The 20,382-nt window shown below is 40.7% G+C and overlaps 1 protein-coding gene across 38 annotated transcripts in view; it reads right to left on the reverse strand.

Moving 5' to 3' along the window:
- Positions 1 to 20,382, reverse strand: part of SORBS2 (sorbin and SH3 domain containing 2) — a 370,850-nt gene that overhangs the window by 71,753 nt on the left and 278,715 nt on the right. For 36 of the 38 annotated variants that reach the window (NM_001394255.1, NM_001394267.1, NM_001394264.1 and 33 more), the window contains 2 exons: positions 4,829 to 4,967; positions 149 to 321 (listed from right to left, as the gene is read on the reverse strand). In NM_001394255.1, coding sequence (NP_001381184.1) covers positions 149 to 321; positions 4,829 to 4,967 — 312 coding nt within the window. Of the gene's footprint in view, positions 1 to 148; positions 322 to 4,828; positions 4,968 to 8,457; positions 8,932 to 19,721; positions 20,364 to 20,382 lie in introns of all 38 variants that reach the window. The other 2 variants (NM_001394276.1, NM_001145673.3) reach the window with 2 other exon arrangements.

The raw sequence follows: 20,382 nt of genomic DNA on the forward strand, positions 1-20,382 counted from the left end.
ACACAGCATAACATTCATGAGAAGTCGGATGGCACGGAGGGCAATCCTCCTTATATAAGACCCTAGGAATGCACAAAGCCGTGGACAATCCGTCCTTTGTGGAGTCTGTGCACAGCCCCAGACAGACGCACACGCTGGCATTTCCTACCGTTCTAATTGCTGTGGGGATTCCGGATTCATCCACGGGCCCGATCCCTGGGTAATGCGGGGCTTTGATGACTGTCACTCTCTTCTCTTCCTCTGAGGATCGGTACAGGGGGATAGAGCTGCTGGTGGTGCCATCCAGAGACTGCGCATGCTGGGGATATGTGTCTGTGGAATCTGCACAGAAAATTTGGTAACATGGAACGTATTCGTTGCACAGGGAATCATAAATTCATGTGTCTTGTTGTATATTTATGCCAACTGTAACACAGAGACCATATTGCCATCACTGTCCCTTTTAACTCATTTACTTTCCATCTGAGCTGGTGGAAACTGTGTAGGTGTGCGGGGAACAGACCTATACCAACAAGGGCCTCACCATTTTATGAAGAAGGCTGAGGGAAGAATGGCATTTGTTAAATGACTGTGTGGAGGCCTCTGAGTTAGGAAGTGCTCTAAATGCATTATCTCTTCTTATCCTTCCAGTAATCTTTGAGGGAGGGCAGGATAGGGGGAGCAAGAACCAGTGTTATAGATAAGGGGCAGGAGCTGAGACAAGTTCAGTAATTTCCCTCAGGTCATCATTTACATCAATATTATTCTTGTGATACTGCTACTACTATTATTTATAGGTTTTGAAATGTATTTCCAGACAAAGACATGACTGTTGAGTCAGTAACAGTGATTTCATAAAAATGAAGCAAAACCAAAAATCACTTAAAAAAATCTTCACATCCAAGCCTTTGGACATGAAAGCTTCTGAATAAATAAATGCTGTAAAATTATTAGTACGATTTCCTATGTGCATTTTTACCTTAAAATATCAAAAACTATGACTTTTTACTCTTTGATGACAAAAACTGCCCTAAGGATATAATTTAGATGAGGCTTATCGAGTTCTTCATGTTTTTTAGTAACTTCTAGAATACTTTCAGAAGCAACAGAGTACAGACATGCAGTATATAGTCCATTTACTTCTAATACACAGGAATTTTAAAAAAATCATCATTATTACCGTTCCTCTGGTATGATTAATAATATGCCTTTATATTTTTCTGCAATTAATTTGAAAATGTTGGTGACAAAGAATGACACTTTGTATATACTCTTTATATCATGGTTTGTCAGGACTGCCACTCAGAAAGTCCTTTAAGGTGGAAATGAAAAAAATTCTCATGTTTCAGGGTGGGACTCATTGATATCATTATGTGTATATGATATATATCATGTATAAATGTATTTTTCATGAAAAATTTGTATAAAATAAGTAAGCTTTTTTTTTTTTTTTTTGAGATGGAGTCTCGCTCTGTCACCCAGCTGGAGTGCAGTGGTGTGGTCTCAACCTCAGCCTCCTGGGTTCAAGCGATTCTCCTGCCTCAGCCTCCAGAGTAGCTGGGACTACAGGTGCGTGCCACCATGCCTGTACAAAAAATTTTTGTACAAAATACAAACAATTTTTTGTATTTTTAGTAGAGACGGGGTTTCACCATGCTAGCTAGGATGGTCCTGATCTCCTGACCTCATGATCCGCCCGCCTCGGCCTCCCAAAGTGCTGGGATTACAGGCGTGAGCCACCGTGGCCGGCCATAAGGAAGCTTTTTAAGAAATTTTAACTCATCAATATAAGGGTAATTAAAATTCAGATCTCTCTGAGGTAAAATCCATTGTAACATTTGTAACTGCTATTACTATGATTATGACTATTTTCAATTTAGTTTGCATCAGAAAGTCATTTTTAATACATTTTTTGATGAAGAATGGATAAGGCTAGTTATAAAACTGCTTTATGTGCAGTTTATGTGCTGGATGGTGACATAAAATGTCCCTGAATAAACGAACAGCATCATAGCCTTTCAACACTGAATCAGTGCTGGGGAAGGAGGTGTGCTGGCTGCTGTCAAAGAAGACATGGTGGTTGAAGTCCCGGGTTGTAGTTTCTTTCCCCCTGCTACTGGCCCCTTGAATGTGAAAATAACATTCAAGCTAGTCCTTATTTTTACTTCTTTATTTTTTTTGAGACGGAGTCTTGCTCAGTCACCCAGGCTGGAGTGCAGTGGCGCGATCTCGGCTCACTGCAAGCTCCACCTCCTGGGTTCACGCCGTTCTCCTGCCTCAGCCTCCCGAGTAGCTGGGACTACAGGTGCCCGCCATCACGCCCAGCTAATTTTTTTTTTTGTATTTTTAGTAGAGACGGGGTTTCACCATGTTGGCCAGACTGGCCTCGATCTCCTGACCTCGTGATCCACCCGCCTCGGCCTTCCAAAGTGCTGGGATTACAGGCGTGAGCCACCGCGCCCGGCTAAGCTAGTCCTTATTAAGACACGGTGAGATATTTGACACTAATTGACTTTCTATTTAATTCCAAAAAGGACTTGAGTGGGCCTCCATGATACTAGTATTTTTATTAGCGACGAATGTTTTTTGAACACCAGCATGTGCAAAGTCCTACTCTAAGCAAGGAGAATCAACTCTGCCTTCACATCTGATCCATTACATTCTATGAACCCATACCTTATGCAATATAAGTTAACCCTTTATTTTATTATTCTCATATATGGTCCACTAGCTGTCATCTTAGCAATCTTTTGTCCTAAACTAAGTGTAAAATTCATCTAGGGCAAGGTAGATGTACATATTCCTCCGAAACCTTATCACAGCACTGGCCAGCTGGAATTTGTTCAGTGTTTACATTGGGAATTTCTTCCCATGCAGAATATTTTATATGTAAAATCTACTTATCAATATATTCTAAAATCAAAGCCTATCTACATTCAAGTATTTTTGTTGTTGTTGTTGGGTGGGGATAGGGACAAAACTGCATTCACTAAGACAGGCAATGAGACAGAGTCAGGCTTTGTTAATAATTATTTGGGAAAAAGCTGTGGCTAGAATAATTTGTCGAGTTTTACTTTATATGTGTGTAAATGCATAGTTCCATTTTAAACAATCTAGATATAATGGACTTCCATTATAACACCACACTATGGGCTGATTGTTAAAGGGCAAAATTTCGGCATAAACCAGTTTTACTTTCTTAACTCTAAAAGGACATCATTGTAGGATTCACAGATGATCCTCAGGCATAGCATCAGCGAAGGCACAGATATATTTAGACTTTAATAAGTCCCGCGGCTACCTTTAAAGTTTTATAGTTATAGAGCTTTGGTTGACCTCAGAAGCTGAGTTCCACCATGCACATGCTGGATGGTGACATAAAACATCCCTGAATAAACGAACAGCATCATAGCCTCTCAATACTGAATCAGTGCTGGGGAAGGAGGTGCACTGTCTGTGTCAAAGAAGACATGGTGGTTCAAGTCCTGGGTTTTAGTTTCTTTCCCCCTGTTGCTGGCCCCTGTGGCCAGAGGACCAGGCCTCTCCTTTTCTGGGAGGTGCAGGATGGTGCTGCTGTCCTGAGAATTCCCCTCTGCTCCCTGCTGTCCTAGAAGCTTCCTAGTGAGTCGACATCATGGAAACTTGTACAGCCTGAATTCCTATGATAGTTCAATTTCGTATTTTTTTTGATATTTTAGGTTTTTAAGTTACATTTTTACAAACTAAGAAATATTTATGGGCCGGGCACGGTGGCTCATGCCTGTAATCCCAGCACTTAGGGAGGTCGAGGCAGGTGGATCACCTGAGGTCAGGAGTTCGAGACCAACCTGGCCAACATGGTGAAACCCCCTGTCTGTACTAAAAATACAAAATTAGCTGGGTGCGGTGGCGGGCACCTGTAATCCCAGCTACTCAGGAGGCTGAGGCAGGAGCATCACTGGAACCCAGGAGGCAGAGGTTGCAGTGAGCCGAGATCGCCCCATTGCACTCCAGCCTGGGCGACAGAGTGAGACTCCATCTTGAAAAAAAAAAAAAAAGTATTTATCACATTATTTTCTGAACTATCTGAACATACTTGACCATGTAAGAGCATTTCTATCACTGTACAGCAAAGCTTCTTTCACAGGAGGCCACAAAAAGTCCATGAGCCCCAGGAAATTATCTGCTTACAATTTTTTATGAACGTCCGTATGTCCATTTGTTTTCTGGAGGAGAGCTCTATCTTTCACTGAATTCCTAGTCCTCAGAGGGTTGAGAACGATTGCTCTATACAATGACAGAACCTTCATTTAAGGGAACACTTAAGTTTCTCTTGTGTGGCTTCCTGCTACCATATCCCTGACTGCAGGTCTTCCAGCCTTGGTTTGAATGGTGGTTTTCTCCTTGTGTGAGCCAGTAGATGACTGCGTCCCTGCTATGTGGGACAGCCTGTCCTCCTGTTACACTGTTTTAACTGTCAAACGATTCTCCCTTATATAGACCCCAGGAAATAGTCCATGGTGGAAGCTCTTCCAAGTCCGAACAAGCTGCCCTAGTGGAAAACCTGCATTCATGTCCTCCAGTGGCACAAACCCCCTTGCCCTAAGTAGCCATTTTCTTTTTCTTTCTACTCCACCACCTCAGACATCTAAGTGCCCACACCAGGCTCAGACACAGGTGGAGACATGGTCTTGGAATAGCATGGTGCCCATTTCCTCCCATGTTGGGTCCTCTGCCCCAGTTTCTCCCTGGGGATAGGGTCATGAGTGCTGAGCGCTCCCGCCTCACCTTGATGCCGCATATCTTTCTCCTGTGGTTGTACTTGCCGCATTGAGGTTGCCATGGAAATCACGGTGAGTAAATTACTTACCGAGGGATGTGCCGTGCTGCATGACAATGCTGGAGTTGAGTGAGGCTGGGAGAGAATATGCCGAGGGGGAAAACGGCCTCTGATAGTAACTCATGGGACTCACGGCACCTCCTGAGTTTCCATTCACTGTTATCTGGCTCTGAGAAAAGCGCAAAGGCATCGAGTTAAATTAGCACATAGTTCCCTGTAAACATCATTCCATTAGGTGATAATAAAAGACTTCCAATCACATGAGAGTAATCAGCTGCCAAGCTCTTATTTATTTTGAAAACTGATGTCAGAGGGCATGCTACATTCTTTGCCTTCTCTCTATTCCCTTATTTCTGAAAATCACTCTCTTGTGTATCTGAGGGTCCAGGGAGTGGTTAGGAAGAATGAAAGTGGCTGACTAGTGGGCATGCCACTCTGCCAACAGAGGTGCCAAATGGTATCAGTAGGAGTCAGTACCAAGTAAATGTGGAGGACGACTTTGCTCTGACAGTCGTAACATCAGCAATCAGAACACGGTGGTGCTGTTCCGCATGCAGCATTGACGTGGATGTCCTTTGACATGAGGCAAGGGATTGGTTCTCAGACTTAGTCAGGGATATCTTCTAGTGAATGAATGTTTCCAGAGCTGGTGAATAACATAAGGAACCTAGTTGTTTGGATGTATATATCATGAAGCAACCTATTCTAGAAGGATCAAATACCTGGTAAAGGATCAGAGAGACATGTTCAACCACTGGCTTCTCCCTACTTCAGCCTCATTGAGCACTTCATGAATCTCTGTTTGATTTCTTAATTATTCATTGTTTCGATTGTTCCGTATCTGACTATTTTATATCCCCAATGGTATCTCAAGCTTCTTGTTGAAGATGGTCATATATATGCTTCTTTAATATTTTGTATAACATGCAGCCTAGTGCTGATGACAGAGTAGATGTTCAATAGGTATCTATTCTGATGGAACTGAATCGGCTTAGTTCACAGATATCGAGCTCAGGACTATTAAGCATGCCTGTCTACCCACAGCACAGTACTGATCATTACAGGGCGCACACAATGCATGCAAATAAGATCAAACATTAGTAAGAACGTTTAGTTAAAATTATAGCTAAATACACACAACACACATAGGCACACAGATAAAGAAGCATAATTTGTGAAACTTTTCTACTTATTTTAAAACAAAACAAACTTCTATTCCACAGGCTTGAAACATAGATATAGTAACTGTGTATTTCTATGATTTCACTTTAAAGCAAATGGGTTTTCAAATGACCTAGAATAAGTCTAATTTCATTACTGTATAACCATACCACTTATGTCCCCAAATCAATAAACATTTCATTACAAGCCTTGTGCTTATTGATTAAATAATTCTCTAAGCTGTTAGAAAAATTACACTCATATCATAACCAGCCACATCTTGAGGACCTGCTCCCTGGAGAGAGCTGGACGTTCAAATAACTGTGAGGCACAGGCCTGCCCAAATCTTCAGAGCTTTTATGTACCTCTGATGGATGATTTGAGAACACTTTCACCTCCTTGCCCAAGTTAAGTTTGGTGGATCTTTGTCAATATCATTGTAATACTATTATAACATGTTATAATTAATGTTAAAAGCTGAAGAATCCTTCTTATTAAAAACCATCAGGTTAACTATATTGCTAAACCTACAAACTTGCTCTGAATCCTATTTTGATGGTTTCAATAATATTGACTAGGGGTTAAAAAAGTAAACACTGAGAGTAGATTTATTCTTTTTTTTTTTTTTTTTTTTTTTTGAGATGGAGTCTCGCTCTGTCGCCCAGGCTGGAGTGCAGTGGCGCAGTCTCGGCTCACTGCAAGCTCCGCCTCCCGGGTTCATGTCATTCTCCTGCCTCAGCCTCCCGAGTAGTTGGGACTACAGGCGCCCACCACCACGCCCGGCTAATTTTTTGTATTTTTAGTAGAGACGGGGTTTCACCATGTTAGCCAGGATGGTCTCGATCTCCTGACCTCGTGATCCACCCACCTCGGCCTCCCAAAGTGCTGGGATTACAGGCGTGAGCCACCGCGCCCGGCCTAGATTTATTCTTTTATTGTGTTCAACCAATCAGGATTTTATGACTAAAATACTATCATTAGCATTTTAGAAAATACTGTATTGTTATAGTGAATTCATTATTAGGAAAAACATGTCATGAATAATCTATTTGCAATTTTAAACTGATAATTGCAATTAATTTCCCTTACAAGTAGCTCTGCTCGTGCCCACAAGACTGTATATAAGACAGTTAGTCTCCTGTAAAGTCTTAAAAACAGAAAATTGAACAGGTTAGTTGGTAGATTGATACCCTCTCACTGCCTTCTTTTTTTGGTTAAAGGTCCTGGTAAAGTTTTAAAAGCTAAGAACCATTGAAGCACAGTAGGGCATGGGAGGAACCCACACCTGCTGTGCTCCTGGTGCCCGTAGTTGGGCTGGTCCTCTGTGGCAGGGAGGGACTCGCTATGGGGTTAGGCCTGGAAAATGAGGCTCCTTCTGTAGCCAGTCTCTGAATGGAGCATTTGAATGCAAAGTGTTAGACACAGCCATTGGGGGAATACCAAATCCCATTACCAAAAAAAGCATCTTTTACTTTATGTAAATTGTAGTGTCTTAAAAAACATATGGCTTATTATAACATTTCTCTGCGCATAAAATTTGCAGACTTATCAGCTTGATAGAACATAAAACAATGTAGCACAAATAAAATTTTGTCTATGACAGTGCTTATTCGGAACTTCATTATAATATCAATTTAAAAAAAAAATCTGATTTTTTTGCCTGAAGCTATGTGTCTCTTAAATGGAAGCCATTACTTAGACATTATATGCAATATAGAATCTGTGCCATAAAATTTTGAAACATTTTAGCCATTCACAGATCATTTATTAGGGATTGCTTATCACATAGATATATTTAAATAATATATGTATGGAAAAGATGTATATATTGCTATAAATGAAAGACAAATTATTGATAAACAAAATAAAAAATGTATTCATAAATTTCTGTCCTGAAATGGCTCAGGAAGAATAATTTTTAAAAATCGTACAGCTAAATTTCTGAAAGGTAGATAGGATTATCGACATCATTCACTCCTGGACAATAGATGAGTTCAAAAGTTGTAGCTGTTAGAGAAGGAGGAACAAGAAAAATTAGCCTCATGCAGTCAGTAATCATTTATGTGAGAAAAAGGATATAGAAAAGAGTCACACAGGACACATTAATGTGAGTCTGTGAGAAAAACTGCTAACATGTATTAATACTGGGTTAAAATTTTTTGAAAAATTTTAGACTTTATGATCACAACATATTGTGATGTATACTTAGCTAATAAGGCAAATCACTGTAGAACTTACCAGCTACAGTAACACGGGAAACCGTAAGTAACTATTTTAGAGTAACTATAAGTAATTCTAAAATGAATGAAGAGAATGAAGTGACTTTTTCAGCCTTAAGCAAGCTTATAGGATGACTAATGATTTCCCTGACAGATGGCATAGAATTGGTTTGGGAATCAACACCTATGTAAATAAAAATGTCAGCCGAAAAATGAGATGGCACAACAAATCAGTCCTTTCAAGGAAACGGTGGAGGCAAAGAAAGGCAGAATAATTACATGAGTGGCCGCAGGGGTGGTTAAGGTGGTGCCATCTGTCACAGCAGACCTCTGACCCCAGGTGGGGGAGGGTGTCTCAGAACGGCCAGTGGTGTCAGAGTCACCAATCTGCAGCTCCTCCAGCATGGCTGTGGAGGACTCACTCTCCGAGCGGGAGGAGTGCTCGGCCAGGGAGGAGTCTGTTGTCAGAGAGCCTGTGTCGTGGCTGTGGATGAGGCTTTCTGGAGCTGGGAGCAGGTGTTTGTATAAGCAATGGGAAAGGCTCTGGGGATTATGCAGGCGTGAAGACCCCACACCATCGGGGGGCGGAAGGCTGAGTGATGCTGAGCTGGTGCCACTGCCTGGTGAGAAAGTGGCTCGGTTCAAAGGTACCACGGAAGGAGGGCACGGAGGAGAAGCTTCTGGTGTGGTTTGTCTGTGTGTCTGTGAAGCATTTACCTCCAACACACTGGCAGGTAAGTTCTGATTTCCAAGCTGAGTATGAGGAAAAAATAATAAGAGATAAATTATCCAATTAACAAAAGTACCTCTTTTTGCGATGTGGCAGAGAAGGCAAAGCATCGGTTTTATTTGCAAGCACTTTAAGGAGTTACATTCAGATGGGTTAGGTGCCAACCACACAGTGCAGAAAAAGTGTGAAAACAGGAAGAAAGTGAATCCAGTCGGTGTGTTTTGAAACAAGGCCGGTTTTCACACAGCACTGCAATGTAATTCTGGTTAGGGGCTTGAGAGTGTTGGCATAACGAAACTGTTTCCTCAGGAGTTTTAGTTTTTGTATTTGTGACAATGATAAGATATCAGACTATCGGTCAGCAGAATTGGTTTGTCCTTCACTAGAAAAATCTAATAGCATAATTGCCTCCCCCTTGCCAAAATGTCCCCAAAACATAAATCTGTTTGTCTTATTTTTTCCTGGTTTATGAATCTAAACACTGATAATACTAAACACAACTAAGCAGAAAAGATAAATGGAAAAGATGTTTTATTTCCTTTCCACTAATTAAATCTGTTCTTTGATTTCACTACAAAATACGAAAAGAATTGGACTTTAAAATATCCTAGCAATGCAAATAGAGGTACCATGTGTGAAAATGAAAACCAGCCACTGATAATAGTTAGAATGTACCCTAGTTAGTTAGAACTATGGTTGGCACTAAATCTTAGGTAAAGGAGAAAGAAACTGAAGGAAAAATAAAAGATTTAACAGCTCCAAGGCTATATATAGCCCAAGAGGCTAAACATAGCGAAGGGATGCTCTGTAGGAGGAAGAGAGAAGATGACCATTTGAAATTTTACAACCACCTGTGGTAGCCTGGATGACGTTTGACCACACGTGACAAATAGGATGATAAGTACTCAATTCAACGTAAGTGAATAAAACTCCGAAGCAACTTTTCTTACTTATTTTTTCTACCTTTCAGAACAGACACTTTTTGGAGGGGATGTTTGGGAGAGGAAATGGTTTTAAGATAGATGGCCAGAGGTATTGTGAGATATTAGTACAAAGATGGGAATGAATGAAGGAGAACTGTTTACACTTAGAAATACTGCCTAGTAAATGTTTAAGTTAAACAATTTGGTGTTCTTTGGCAGCCATAATTTTCATAATGACTGATGTCATGCACGTTGTTAGCATAATAAAAAGGTTGCAATAATTTTTTTCTCAGACTTTTACTTGAATACTTTTAAAAAATCCATCATATAAAAAGGTCTCTCTGAATCATAGATCCCTTAGAAATCTGATAAATGTGACTGATCCTTCTTTTGGGGAAATGCACAAATTCATACATACAGAAAGTTCTGCATAAACTTCAGGGGGACAGAGACACTCTAAAGCATAACCTTAATCTAATGGGTTAAGAAACCCCAACCTTGGATAAAAAGACAGATTTTCTTGTCCTAATCTTACTTAATATGATTTTTTTTCTTGTTTAAACATAGTCATTTTAAATGTGATATATATATATATATATACGTATATATATAATATATATTTTACTGTTCATGGTTGTTTAAATCTCTAGAAATAACTGACAGAAATCTTAGTTACCCAGAACTTAAAATGTTTTGGTGGGGATGCATCCTTATTATTACTGAGTGTTTACAATAATTGCAATCTTATTGGAGGTGAAACTTTAATATTATGAAATTATCATAATTCTAACTTAATGTATTAAAATGTTGCTATAAGTCTGAATGTAATTCAGTATAAAGCAGTCTTTGGATAGCGTCAATGAAATTTCCCCTAATAATTCAGCTTTACTAAGGATGTTTCCATGTAATACGAATCTCTTTTTAGTTTTATTTATGCTAAATGAAAACTATGAAATAATACAAATCATACAAAAGGATTTGAGTTATCTGCTCATGAGACTTTTCCCTTTCAAATTAAAAGAAAAAAATCTAATGACTTTAACCCCCATTGGACTGACTTGTCCATATCCTATGACTTGAAACATGTCAAAAGCTAAAGCGTATTCTAAAATCACCATTGTCACGGGTAATATGATCATTAGTTTGCATAGCACTGTGTCTGGGGATGGTCCTTACCCATTCAATTGTTCTTCCAAATAGAATGTCCACAGAAAACAAAATTATTCCACCTTTCGAATTTCTTTCACCACCTCCTGACATGCTCCTGGTTTTGAGTCTTTTAATGCACGTGTGTGTATGGGTGTGTATGTGCGTGTGTGTGTTTGTGAGTGTAAGGCATGAAATGCCTCGTGGTGAGTCACATCACACTTAAATTTCTACAGATAAAACTCAATAATTCAACAGTTATACTGGTCACCCACAAAAAAGCTTTGACAAGACCCCAATCTTCACATGAATGGAATATACCCTGTAGACCCAAGGGGAAAGAAAGACCATGTTACACGTGTTTCTCCTGAGGAAAATCAGAAGAGCAGCAGGAAAGGTATGAAAGGGGAAGAAGGCAGTATTTTCCCAATCTGGACTACCTCAAAAATAGGGAAAACTGGCTTTAAACAAGTGTATTTTTTTCTTACTTCATGAGTGGCAAGTAGATGACTGCAGGTAATCATCCTAATTGTTTTAGGTCTCCTTCTTTTCAAGACCATGGAAGGCTAAGGTGTTTGAATAGGGATCAAGGGTCACCAACTTTTTGTGAGTATAAATTGTTTTTTCTTTCCCCAACCCTTGAGCTAGCAGGAAGAGGGTAATGAGAAACACCAGCTAGCAGCCAGGGGCTGCCTGGTCTTCTGCAAAGGACAGGGACGGTGCTTAAACCTTAATATGCTTCATATACCAAGAGAGAGCACCTGCTTACTCAAACTAGCACTGAGCTTCTTCGTCCAAATGACTCCAACCCAGAATGCTAAAGAGAGCCTGTGGATGAGAGTGCTCACCAATCAACACTGGAGCTCCTGAGGAATGAAGGGGCACAGAGATTCAAGGGAGGGTGAGCTTCAGCAGTGGAAAAAGTGTATTGAGTTGGATGAAGGCATTGCAAACTCAAGTGCCCATCATGGGTCAGGAAAGTATCCAGGATGTGCAAATCAAGCCCGTGTTGGATGACAGGGAATGATGGGACCGATGGCAGAATGCGGAAGTCATGTTCCCCCTCAAGGCGGGCGTCATTGACCCATATCCTTTGCCTTGAAACACGATGAAAATTAAAGCTTACTGTCTCTAAGACCACCATAGTCATGGGTAATATGACCTTTAGTTCGCTCATAAGCTCAGTGACAACACATCTATAGTCATAAGCCCCTAAGCTGTCACTTGCTGACACAGCAGATGTGGAAGCTGGAGGTGGAAGAGGGTAGCTGTGGAGCGGGGATGTGAAGAAGGAGTGCATGGCCAGGCCTCAGGAGAGGAGGGGAAAGTGCTCGTTGGGGTGCAAAACTTAAAGAGTGACAAAAAACTCAGTAATTGAGATAAATTCTGTTTCAATGCAATCTTTGAAAGAAAATCAACATCAATGCAAAAAAGCAAAAATACCCCATACTGAACAAAAATGTCGAAAATATAAATGAAGACCAGCGCATGCCAAGCCATAGGAAAAGAGAGTCTGGGTCTGGCGTTTTTAATGCAAGAAAACTCATCAATAATATTTTCAAAATCTACATTTTTGCTTATTTCAGTTTTAGTTGAGAGAATAGACATGTTTGACAATTTCCAATTAACTGATGGCCATCTTAAATAATTTGTAATTAATTTAAGGTGAAGTAAACATGTAATAGGGCAAGCGCAGTGGCTCACACCTGTAATCCCAGCACTTTGGGAGGCTGAGGCGGGCAGATCACCTGAGGTCAGGAGTTCTAGACCAGCCTGGACAACATGGTGAAACCCCGTCTCTACTAAAAATACAAAAATTAGCCAGGCGTGATGGCAGGTGCCTGTAATCCCAGCTACTCTGGAGGCTGAGGCAGGAGAATTGCTTGAACCTGGGAGGTGGAGGTTGCAGTGGGCCGAGATCACACCACTGCACTCCAGCCTGGGTGACAGAGCAAGACTCTGTCTCAAATTTAAAAAAAAAAGGTTTATTTTGCTTTAAATAAAATATTTAAGCTTAAAATAATGTGTGAGTGTTAATAACGTGCGTTTCAACTTTTCAAAAAAATTCTAATGACTTAAACATTCTAGGAAAAAGCTCATTCCCAATATATGAAAACAGGTATAAGGAAGCACAGAATTTCCTTCCACCTCAGGTTCCAGTTGGCTTGACATGGCCCTGAGGTCAAGGATCCTAACATCTCTCTCTTAACACCTTTAGTCATTGAGCTTCTAGGCCTCATTTCTCAAGGAACATAAGGAATATATATTAAATGTCAAGCAAAGAAATCTGACAGGCTTTTGTTCTCTTTTTTCCAATGATAGTAATTTACTTGAAAAGAAAATATCTAGGAAGGGGTTTTTTTTTTTTTGGAGTCTTGCTCTCGACCTCCAAAAGTGCTGGGATTACAGGCATGAGCCACTGTGCCCGGCTGGAAGGGGTTTTAAAAAAACCAATCTTTACCTCCCATCCACACATCCTTTAGGGAAAATGTGCCCCCTCTTTTCATGGCCTGTCCTGGTGGTATGAGGAGACCTGCCTGGCAGCTGTGTCTGTTGCCGGATCATCATTTTGCTGGCCACAGCTGATTAGGAAGGGGGAGTAACTGGACTATGCTGGGCCAGTGGGGCCCTGCCTCCCTCCTGGGAATTTGAATTACGTGACACTGAATGCCCCTCAGGTAGCTGTCGGGTACCCAAATGCAAGGAGTCAGAGAGTATCATGGAAACCCATGGGCAACTTGAAGTAACGACAGAGCAGAAACTAAGAGACAGACAGGGAACTATGCAGTTCCTACGACTGAGAAGGATGGAGGGTAGCTGCCTGGCCATTGCCCCGTTTCCCTAAGGCCTGGCTGTATTGCCTGCATTGTAATGATGTGAGATTGTCTGACAGCCTCATAATAAAAATTATTTTAACCATATACTCCCCACCCAAGAGCTGGGTGACAAGTGATCTAAAATTGTCACACAGATTGGGCACACTGACAGCATGTGGCATCTGAATCAGGGGAGTAAATATTTCTACTGTACTCTGTGGTATTCAGATCGGGAATATGGTTTTGCATCTGGGAAAGTGTCATATTTTAAGAACATTATCAAAATATGGGATTTAAAAATCAGCTTGTGTGAGAGCATAGAGGTAGCAGAGGCTAGTGGCTGAGCTGTGGATCTTGAGTCAGACAGACTTGGGCAACTTGTTTAATTTCCTTGGCCTCAGTTCCTTCATGTGTAAAATATAGGCATGGATAAAACCCATCTCTTAAAGCCTGTAAAAATTAAGTAGGGCAATGTAAAGTGCTTAGCACAGTGCCTGGTGTGCTGTAATAGCTCTCAAAAAAAGGAGAATCATGTTTTACAAAATTAAAATGCTGGGAAGGAACAGGAATGCTCTGCACAAAGCCAGTAGCAGGGTAGGGAAGAGAAGGATCACGTGAACACTGTCAGATAGAGGCGGAAGAACATTCTGTCTCTTTTGCTCTGTGGATAACCATGCAGAAGTTAAGGAAGGCAGATCATGACGTGGTATTAGAAATTCTTTCCAATAATTCGATCTCAGAAATGGCCAAGCACTGGACTGCTGCCTTGGAATGTAACTGAGCTCTTCATTAAGTGTATTCAGAAAAGGCTGGATGCCCATCTATTGGGAGATGTTGAAGAGGACGTTTTATTTGTAAACTCATGTTGGACTCCCAAGTATTCTCTAATGTTCAATTATTTAAATACATGCATATGCATGCGCATGCACAGACATCAAATGGAGAAATTGCCAAAGACCTGATCAACTAATAGCATTACGAGCCCACAGAAAGGAAGCCATACTAATGGAAGACATCAATGATTGGGGCCGGTCTTGATAGCAATGTTCCAGAAAGTGCGTTCTGCAGTTCTGCACCTATTATCCCACACTGCTGACATGTCTGCATTACTCTGTCCTCCTTAGTATCTACATACTGATCCCATGGAGCAAAAGAAATGAGTTTCCTCTCCCTTCTACATGACAGTCGGGCAAGTTCCCCTGTGAGTCCCCAGCATATGTGCAGTGGCAGCTGTGAAGGTGAGGCTTTGGCAAATGATTGATTATGTTATTTCATAACGGACAGGACAAGCTTATCTTCCTGAAGCAAGGAACATAGCACAGATGCCATAGAAACTGTTTGGGGGTGTAGCTTTTTGCTGGCTTTCCAAAGTGTCTGGCTTATACCTTCACTTACTTGACATTGAGAACAATGTGACATTTTTAGCAACAGGATATCTGATCACACAGTGCCATAAGGATAACATGCCTCATTTCTGGTCTGTTTGTAGGAGGTCAATTAAAGCACATGCCGTTTAGAAAACACTATGAAAAATTGTCAAATATGAAGAGAATTTCTAACAGTGACCTGTAGTTTTCTTCTTAAATTAATGAGCAGACATTAATAATAACAAAACTATGTAAATAAAACTTCTGAAACACTGAAATGTACTTTTCACATCTTGGTGTACTTTTATCGCTTGGACCTGCTAATTCCTGGGAGCCTAATTCTTTATAATGGAGCACATATTTGGCTGACTCACAGGGTATAGCTTACAGTGCTTGGCATTGGCTGAGACTTGCCAGAATGCGGAGTGCAAGTGTTTAAAATGGAAAGGTCACCATTGTGAAAGGTCATTACATGGAAAATGAGACTTAAAAATGAAGCATATCACAATCATCAAGATGTAGAAACAAACCAAATGTCCATTGATGGACAAATAGATAAAGACAACGTGGTGTATACGCATACTAGGATACTATTCAGCCTTAAAAAAGATGGATGTCCTGCCACATGCTGTAACATGGAGCAATCTGGAGGACCTTATACCAAGTGAAGGCCTGTCTCAGAAGGACAAATATCTGAGCAGAGAGTAGACTGGTGGTTGCCAGGCGCTTGGGGAAGGGGGATATGAGTTGCTATTCGGTGGGCATAAAGTTTTAGTTATGCAAGATGAATAAATCCTAGAGATCTGCTGCACTGCATGGTGCCTACAGTTAACAATACTGCATTGCACACTTACAAATTTGTTAAGAAGGCAGATCTCATGTTAAATGTTCTTACCAAAATTTTAAACAGAGAATAAAAACTGCAACAGCTTCATGCTACCTTTTTTAAAAAGCCTTAGAAAAGAGGACACGCTATCTTGGAACAAACTGAAAGTCTGTTGAAATAAACTTTTACCTACCAGTAAAAAAAATGAAGTATTGTTGAAAATAATATATTTCTTTTTCCCAATCAGATGCATAATTTGGAAAAATATTATTTAATGATGATGACAGCTACTGTATGTTGAAGAATTACCATGAAGCAGGCACCATGCCAAGATCCTTATATGCCTTACTCAAACCTCCCAGCAGTTCTATGAATGGTTGCTATCATTGTCCCTGTTTTATAGATGAGAAAACTGCTGCTCGGGGAGGGTGAATAACTAGATGAATGGTTTTATGTTAATAAGATCTTGAAACAGCTGACTGCCCAACCACTTTCTTCCCAGTCTCTCTCATACCCACTCCAAGAAAGCCTCCTTCCCCACTATGGAATCAATGGTAAGTTTTCAGATTTCATTTCAAACCTGTCTCATCAACAGCATTTGTGCGGTGAACCATCCCTTTCTTTCCACACATTTTCCTCACATGGCTTTTAGGATGCCACATTTTCCCAGATTTCCTCCTCCCTTAGAGGACACTGCTTTCAGTCTCCTCCACTGCTTCTTCCTCTTAATGTTGAGATTCACTCAGGCTCAACTCTTGGTCCTCCCCTTTTCTCTGTCCTTCCCCTGCTGATCTCACTCTGTCTCATGGCCACAAAACCCATCGACTAGCCAATGGCTGATACCTCCAACCAGGACCTTTCCCCTGAAGTACAGGCTCTTACATCCAAATGCTCACTTGACCACTTAATGTGGGTGTCTAAGAAATGCCTCAAACTTCCTGTTTCCCAAATGGAACCTCTGAAGTTTCCACCAACCTGTTCCACCCACAGCTGTCCAGTCTCAGCTGATGGCGATGCTATCTTCCAGTTGGAGTCAACCTTGACTTTTCTCTTCCTCACATCCCACATGCAATCTGCCAGGAAGTCCTGTTTGCTTGACTTTCAAAATACATTCTCACAGTCTGATTTCTCACCACCTCCTCTGCTGCCCCCTGCTTTGAGCCCCATCATTTCTTACCTAAAGGACTGCAGTAGTTACCTAACTGGTTTGCCTGATCTCCTCCTTGCCCCACTATGGTACGTTTTTCACTGAGCTGCCAGAATGATTTTGTTAAAATATAAGGGAAATAATAATGGTGGTAGCCTCAACATCCTCCAGTGACCTCCATTTTTATTGAGAGTAAATGTCAAAATCCTTGCAATGGCTTATAAGGCCTCCTGTCATCTGGTCTTTGTTACCTCTGACTTCACTTCCTATCACTCTCACCTCACTTACTTCCTCTCCCTCCCTCAGGCTTCCTTCTGGTCCTCCCACAGCCCCAGCATGATCAACCTCAAAGCCTTTACATAAGACATTCCCTCTGCCTAGAATATTCTTCCTCCTTCAAAGCTGTTCTCTTTTCAGTGAGGTCTATTGATATTGAGTTACCATACTTGACATGATATCTGGTCTCCACATCTCTACTTTGCATGGCATAACTCAATTTCCATAATCTTCTAATATATGTAATTTACTCCAGTTCTTATTAATGCTTGCTCCTCCTGCCACACACAGACAAATTTTAAGCAGGAATGGTTTCAAATCCAACTCTGTTACTAGAACAGACTTGACATAGGTTAGGCACCCAATAAATATTTCTTGAATAAATAGCAGTGACAGGATCTCAAATCTTAACTTTTAGATGGTGCCGATACCCTGGGGATAATATAATCAAACTAACCGTCTCTGCGCAGCCTGGATAAAACCATGCAAAACGAAAGGTATCAGCTTGTTTTCAAACATCACAAAACCATTCTGAAGAAGCAAACCAGGTTGGATGAGTCCAATGACTGATATGTGTTCCTATGACTTCTCCTACACCTGCTTCCTGGCGTGCCCATCCTGGGACACTGGCGAGTCTGCTCACTGACACTGGCACGGGCCTGTCTGTACAGTCACAGACGGATTTTGCTCCCTCCGACCTTCCTGGACTCCTGAACCCGATCAAGATGCATCTGCCTCAGCTCCCACCATCATGGCACCGTGTCTCGTCACTGCTGAGTAACGACTTCACAACGAGAAGTAGCACTCTTTCAGAGTGGTGGCCCTGCAGCCAGCCTGCCAGGGTGTGTATTCTGTTTCTGCCTTTTGCCAGCTGCATGACCCTGGGGGAGCAACTTACTTCTGTGCCTCAGTTTCCTTAGCCATAAAATAAGGACAGTAGTAATACCTACTCCATGAGATTGTGGCAATTATTAATAAACATAAACAAGCTGCAACAGTGCCTGCATAGAGTAAGGCCTTAATATTTGTTAGCTCCTATTAATGTTATTATTATTATTATCATCTGATTTCATAGGTGCTTTCAGAAGATATTACCTTAATTAGAAGAAATTGCTCTACTGAACGAATTTTGCACATCTTGATTGGCTGATGGAGAAGATATTTTAGTAGAGGTATGATAATACCAGCTTGTCCTTTAATCATTTCTGTTTAAGGCTCGTCTGCTTTATGAGTGGGTGGGGGGATCTTGGTGTCAATTAGTTATCTTTTGGAGATTTTCTGTACAGTTTAAAAGTATATCTCCTCGAGGATATGTTTTGGATGATCTTTATTAACACAGATACAAAAAGGAGTATTATACAAATTATTTACTTAGGCACCACTGTTTTCAATATTAACACTAGCGCTGTTGCTGCTACTATTATATCTTTTATTAACAGCTGTCATTGAGTGCTTGCTCTAGCCTAGTCTATGGTAATTCCCTAGTCTTACCATAACCTATAAATTAAGGGTTAATTAGTATTCTCATTTCTTTGTTCGGACTCACAGAAAAGTTTAGATGAATGTCTCATCACATAGTAAATGATGCCTGGATTAAAATCTACAGCTTATCCTTAAAGTTTGTGCTTTTAGCACTACATTGTTCTATGGAGAAGTCAAAAAGAGAAGCACATTTCTCCTGTTAACAGACTAATACATGTAAACAGAAGGATGCTATGAGAGAATTCTACACACATGGAAAGTTTTACTTCCTGAAAGTCTGGATAATAAAAGTTGGCTAATACACTTTCTGAAATGATAAATTAAGTTTTAGTGAAAATGAATATTGAGTTGCAAAGAAATAGACATTGCTTAAAATTAAGATAACTATTCCCTGCCAAAGCAAATTATAATTGACAATTATCTGAAGAGGTTTTACACATGTAAATAAAGTAAATCTAAGTGCAAAAAGATCTAATATGAAAAATATTTCTTTGAAACCTAAACATGCTTTAAGTCCTGAAGTAGTCTGCAATGTCTTAAATGATAACTGACCCCTCAATGATTTCCCATAAACATCTAGAAGAAAAAAAAAAATTTAGAACATGATTTCTGGATGAAAGATCTGTATATGCATATTTACATTTAAAAATACCTAGACATTTGCTGATGAATTTAGTAGGGTTTTAAATTGGAAAATGGTTTCTTTCTCCTTTCCCTTCCTGCTTGGAAACTAAGAAAGCATTAGGTCATATAAGAAGCCCAAACCAAAGGAGTTAGGGTCTCTACGATACGCATGTATTAATACGAAGAGACTGAGAAGCTTAAGGTACCACTCTGCAGTCTGAGGACTGAGAGGCCGCTGCAACTGCAGATTTTTGTCTCTCTTGCTGAAGAGGTATCTTTGCAGTCTCTGGAGAAAGCTCAGGTAGCTGTTTGTGGCTTTCAAGATCCTGTCCTGAAAGGGGAGCTATCTGAATGGAAAGAGATGCTGTGTGTGTCTCAGGCACTGGATTAGGGGTCAGTGAGCGGGGCCTTTTGAGAAATGACGGTACTTCGACAGATTTGGAGAACTGTGGAGTACTAATGGGGCTGCTACTTCCTAGATCCTGGTTATGGGTTAGTTTCAAGGTAGAAATCCTCCGAGTTTGAGAATCTTGCCTGTAGTCCTCTTGTAGAACTGGGGTGTTGATGTTAGCGAATGGTGCAGGATCCGTGCTGGAAGCTGCTGGTAGTGGATTAGTGATTTTTTGTGTATATGACATGGTTGTGTTAGATTCTTCAGAATATACAATTGTCTGTCTCGAATCTTCATTGGAATACATAGTTCCCTGAAGAGGTTTTTTGTTAGCAAAGTACTCTGTACTGGAGGGAATTTGTGTGTTAGTTACTAACTGGTCTAAAATGACACCCTTTGTGTGACTGGTTATCAAAGAGCTATGAAAGCTCTCTTTTCTTTCTGGTGGAGGGGGTGCCTGGATTGACAATGGGATC

The sequence above is a fragment of the Homo sapiens genome, chromosome 4 (genome assembly GCF_000001405.40).
Source record: "Homo sapiens chromosome 4, GRCh38.p14 Primary Assembly".
NCBI lineage: Eukaryota > Metazoa > Chordata > Mammalia > Primates > Hominidae > Homo > Homo sapiens.